The sequence below is a fragment of the Homo sapiens genome, chromosome 10, assembly GCF_000001405.40.
Source record: "Homo sapiens chromosome 10, GRCh38.p14 Primary Assembly".
Classification (NCBI taxonomy): domain Eukaryota; kingdom Metazoa; phylum Chordata; class Mammalia; order Primates; family Hominidae; genus Homo; species Homo sapiens.
In genome coordinates, this window is record NC_000010.11 from 114,920,525 (window position 1) to 114,926,524 (window position 6,000).

The following is a 6,000-nucleotide window of genomic DNA, read 5'->3' on the forward strand; positions in this document are numbered from 1 at the left end:
TTGGACCTATTAAAATGCAGAATCTAATGGAAGATAAGTATAATAACTCTTAATCAGAAATGCTCATGAGCTTTTTAAAAATCAAAATTCCTGGTTCTCACTCCCAGTGACTCAGGTTCCTTGTCTGGCACAGGGCCAGACCATGTGAATCTTTACTCCTCATGTGATTCCTGGTTGAGATCTCCTGGTTGAGAACCCCAACCCAGGTTAAGTTTAGGTTGTTATCAGTTAATTGAATGTTAGTATAAACGAGGATCCAAAGAAAAGTGTGATGGAGGTAAGGGGATGTAAAAGCACAGTAGCACCTGAAATTGAAAAGATGTGAGACAGTCAGCCTTAGAGAGAAGCACAAAAGCTTGCAACTTCACCATTCTCCCAGGGCCTTGCCTGCAGAGGTTATAAAGGAATAAGATGTATGAAAATATACATATACCTTTTGGCCAGGCGCGGTGGCTCATGCCTGTAATCCCAGCACTTTGAGAAGCTGAGGCAGGTGGATCACCTGAGGTCAGGAGTTCGAGACCAGCCTGGCCAAGATGGTGAAACCCCATCTCTACTAAAAATACAAAAAATTAGCTGGGCGTGGTGGCATGTGCCTGTAATCCCAGCTACTTGGGAGGCTGAGGCAGGAGAATTGCTTGACCCTGGGAGGCACAGGTTGCAGTGAGCCAAGACCGCGCCACTGTGCTCCACAGCCTAGGCAACAAGAGTGAAATTCCGTCTCAAAAAAATATATATATATACCTTTTAGGGTATTTCAGCTTATTGTGGCAATGAAACCACCACGTCTAGATCTCAGAGAGGTAAAACACAATGAAGAAAAAGAGAGAAAGGGTTTGAATCTCCTGATGAACAATGTAAAATCATCTTGAATTTATCTCCTTTTTGAAGGCTAATTAATTTAGGACCAAAAGTCACAAGAGGGTCACTGTAGGTATATCCAGAGGGTAGGATCTGGGTGTCTCCAGATATCATTAAAAATTGAGACTATAATTAACAATAATTTATTGTATATTTTATTCAAAAACTTATTGAATTATCACATGGTAGCCCCTAAATATGTAAAATTATTGTGTGTAAATTTAAAAAATAATAAAAGCAAAGAAGAAAAAAAAGAAAAGGAAAAAGCAAACAAAGAAAAGCTGTGCTAAAAAAAATGAGAGATGGTGTTAAACACAGGTCACTGCTTCCTTGTGCTATTTAAGGGACATATCTGGGGGCCATCGCAGTTTCAATACAGAGCCACATTCTGTGCCATGGTTTTTATAAACAATTCCCACTACAAATGTGTGTATATGTGAGGATAGGTCATAGTATATCCATCTTCGTTTATCACTGACAAAGGAAGATAACTATACAAATCATTTTCTCTTTTATATCTTGCTAAAACAAAAGAAGATCTGTCATGGGCCCTAAATAACCAGTGGTTTCTACTGATAATTTTTTGAAAGCTCTTAAAGCTCTACATCCCATTGTGTCCCAGTAATTTCTTCCTGAATTCTTAATTAGAGTATTACTACTTGAAAAATGAGCATATTTTTATTGCAAGAGGAATGATAATAAATCTTATAATTTTAAACTAGGAATCAAAGCCCCTCTGAGTTAGGAGGAAATCAAAGGGCTGTAAAATGTATTTCATTCGTTTTCCCCTGGGCGGTCTGATTCTTCTAATGTCAGACTCTGCCTGCTATCTTTTCATAATGGGCTGAACTATGCAGATATTCAAGATGAGACATTACATTTGTACGTTACTAATTATACACATAGAATTCTGATGCTTACAAACGTTTAATGCATCAAAGGGCAAAAGGCCTTTATTACATACTTTTGATTTTGTCAGCTTCTAGGACTTAACATCCTCTTGGATTTAGTTTAGAAAGCTTTAGCTAATTGAAGAAGTAATTTTTTTAAAAAATCAGAGTTAAAGAATGCTAAGGAATTTCCTAAATCCAACGTGATGAAAATTAGAATTCCTTGTGGGAATGGAGACTGATTCCTTAGTGTCCTGGTAAGCCTACATATTTTCCTTTACTCATCCCTAGAAACAAAAGAGAATTACTTCACAGAAAAATGGTCATTTTCAATTCTATCCAGAGAAGGAATTACCATATTAAGTATTTGTACAGCACAGAGCATTGTATTATTGCTGGTAGGTGGATATTTTACTTTATTCTCAGTAAAAACTAAAATCTTTTCCTTATAGAAGCACCAAACTAAGTACTTTTTAAAATCACAGAAAAGCAGTTTTTTGTAAGTGCAAGAAAAAGAGCTTTGTGTTACAGACTTCTACAGAATATTGAAAATGGCCAAATGTGATTTTTTGGAGGAAAACAAAATGTACTTTCTCCAATGGCAATTCTTCCCGCAAAAGGAAAGTGAAGAAAAGGTTGTAGTCTTAAAATGAATCATTGAACGCTAATACCCAGTTACAGGTTTTATTGCTGTAATCTCAAAAGGCCAAAGACCAATATCATTTCCTATCACATCTGTAGCCAGGTAACAACCTTTTAGAAAAGATCATGGTCCGGGAACACACACCAAAATAACTGATGTATTCTGCAAAAAGAAATAGTACTCTGCAGTGCCCATCAACAATCCTGGAGAGGGATGAATAGCCTCACTCAGCCTATGCCACCATTTCTTTTTTTTTTTTCTTTTTTGAGATGCAGTCTCACTCTGTCGCAGAGGCTGAAGTACAGTGGTACGATCTCAGCTCACTGCAACATCTGCCTCTCGGCTTCAAGCGATTCTCCTGCCTCAGCATTCCAAGTAGCTGGATTATAGCCACGCGCCCCCATGCCCAACTAATTTTCATATTTTTAGTAGAGATGGAGTTTCGCCATGTTGGCCGGGCTGGTCTCAAACTACTGACCTCAAGTGATCTACCGGCCTCAGCCTCCCAAAGTGCTGGGATTACAGGCGTGAGCCACCACTTCCATCTGCAAAGCAAGCTCTGCTATGGTAGGGCATCCTGTGTAATGATACCCAGCTAAAGTTACACATTAGTGATCACTGATAGTCTTTCTTTATATTTGTCCATAAAAAAACGCTAAGTATGTCTCCTCTTAAAGCTATGAACAATTTGTAGTTTTCAAGAGCTATCAAGCTATGTAATCTTTTTTCATCTCCAATTAAATAGGTGTGTCCCAGAGCCATGCTACTCCACACTTTGCCTGCCTAGCACTGTGCTGGCTACATTGCTCAGTAAGTACCCACTGAAGGACAGTTCAATGACTGTGGTGTGGTGGCTAATGCCCAGTGAAGGATAGTGACCTCACTTTGAACCCTCACTGGCAGCTAACCTAGGAATTTGTGTCTCACCCATTCCAATTTCTGCAAGTTATTAATATAATGAAGCACTTTCTGGAACTCGTTAAAGTGAGAAAACCCTTCAATTTTTCTCTGCTGGCATTGCCATTTTCCTTTGCTTCCTTTTTTGTTCTCTTCCTTCTTTTTTACTACTTCCCTTCCTTTTCCTTTCTCTCTACACTCATAAGCATTTATTGTTGGGCGCTGAGCTAGAAATTGGGGCATATACAAAGAAAAAGATGTGGGTCTCTTTTTTCCACAATCTGCCTTAAAAGGAGCTCCCAGTTTAGTGAGTTGCCATTTATAATGATAGTTCCATTTATTGCCTATTCACTTCATACAAGATACACTTTATACATTGTTGCATTTAATCTTCATAACAGTCTTGAGAGGAAATTGTTATGGGCACCGTATGTTACAGATTAGGGAAAAAAAGCTCAGAGTGGTTAAGTAACTTGCTAAAGAGCCAGTAAATAACAGATCGGATTCAAACCTAGGTCTGATTCCGAAACCTGTGTTTATTCCACAATATTTCATCCCCAGAAAGGAAAAGATGAGTTCCACATTGGCGGATATATACCACTGAACTAACAAGGTATCTTTCCTCTTATGAGACAAAATTTCCTTGAAAAAGTTTGCATCTCAGTTTGATTTCAATTTATCCAAGCATATAAGGATATATAAAGCACAAAAGGCAATGGTTCAGGTCATGTTACTTAAAGCCTGACCTATAAACCTGCACCAGTGAGTGAACTATGTCTCAGTCTGTCATGAGATAAATACAGAAATTGAGAATAAATATTTGAGAACTTTTATAGGAATTTAACACAGTATAATAATAAATATGGCATTGTATTATGGGCTTTAAATTTTTTAATTAATTAATTTTTATGTATTTATTTTTTAAGGCAGGGTCTCCTTTGTCCCTTTGTCGCTCAGGCTGGACTGCAGTCCATACATGATCATAGCTCACCGTAGCCTCAACTTCCCAGGCTCAGGTGATTCTCCTGCCTCAGCCTCCCAAGTAACTGGGACCACAGGCACACACCACCAAACCCAGCTAGTTTTTGTATTTGTTGTATAGATGGGGTTTTTTCATATTGCCCAGGCAGTTCTCAAACTCCTGGGCTCGAGCAATCCACCTGCCTCTGCCTTCCAAAGTGCTGGGATTACAAATGTGAGCCACCACTGTGCCCAGCTTCTTTTTTTTTTTTTTAGTTTAATATTTTTAGTAGTTCATTTTCATTGTGTTTTATAAAAGTATGAGTGTACAATAGATTGGGCATTTTTTAAAACTTGTCCTTTTCCACAAGTAGTTTGTGAAGCACTAGTTTATATAAATATGTAACATTTAAATAATGTTAATAAATTGTCAATATGATTTTCCAGTGATACCACTAGGATTCCCAGAATAGATAATTTCCCTTTCCTGGGCCAGCTACTATTGTTCTTGTGAGCTCTAGGAAGTATATTTGCCCCAGAACTTCTTTAGCATGGAACGTGAAACAAAGGCTCTGTTTTCAAGAGGTGTTTGATGAACATTGAATGGACCAATCAGTGACCAGTGACCCCTGAGATAAAAATGTTTCCTGAGTGTTAATTTATATTTCTCAGTGAAAAAAGAAATGTGGACACATTGGTGCACCTTCCAGTAATTTTGATCATGAGACTGAACGACAGACGTTGAAGACAGTTTTGAGTGGTGTAATTTACACACGACATTAACCCAGAGTTGTGTCCTTTACCCTACCACAGTGGAGTATGTCAGGGAATAATACACAGCGAAAAGATTCTCTCAGGGCTCTTCTCTGGGCAGAATATAGAGGTATAATTTGGTACTTGGAAGAGACATCCTGGACAATTTATGTACCCAGGAATCAGAATTGGCTTATTCATGACTTCTAAGGGAAGTCATGCATTTAAGGAGTTAGTTATTGCAACTGATGATAAAATGCTGCTGCTGGCAGAAAATGTTATTTTATGAAAGCTTTTAACAGAATTCTTCCTCCAGAACCTGAATGATAATATATTTAAGATTTCAATTGCATGTGTCATTTCCTTATTTTCACAGCCGTGTCCTGGCTGTGAAAACATCTTCTGCCTACAGTGACACCTTAACTGGAGTTGATAGGGTTGATTTTCTGCTGGTTGGTGACAAATGTGAAACCATGGAAAAATCTGCAGTTGCGGGCTGGCCCTGTCCCCAGAGACCAGCAACTCTGGGCCACAAGACTGCTCTTTTATCTATGACTAAAGAAACTAACAGGATGACTCAGAGGCCAGGGGAAAACATGCTCTAGGGATTTCTTCTCTCAGACCCCTAAAATGGGAGGAAGATTAATGGCTGGCAAAGTCACACTGCAGGTTATAATTCTCTTCCAGCAGGTTATAAAGGTGTACTGACAAACTCTGCAAGGTGGAGGAGATGAAGAAAAGCAAAGGCTATATGGCTGCTTTCAAAGCTGTTTATCAGAAAAGAAGATATCTCTCAACAAAATGACACCATGTCTAAAAATGCTTGCCTGGCATCCCTATCTGTTATATGCTGGAGTGTGAATTACATGTGCCTTCATTGTAATCAGAAAATAAAATGTATGCCCATGAAATATGTAAATGTTAGATATGAATATGTGCTTAATACAACAGACTGGCTATAAACTTTGAAATGGATCAAGACTAAAATTTTATATA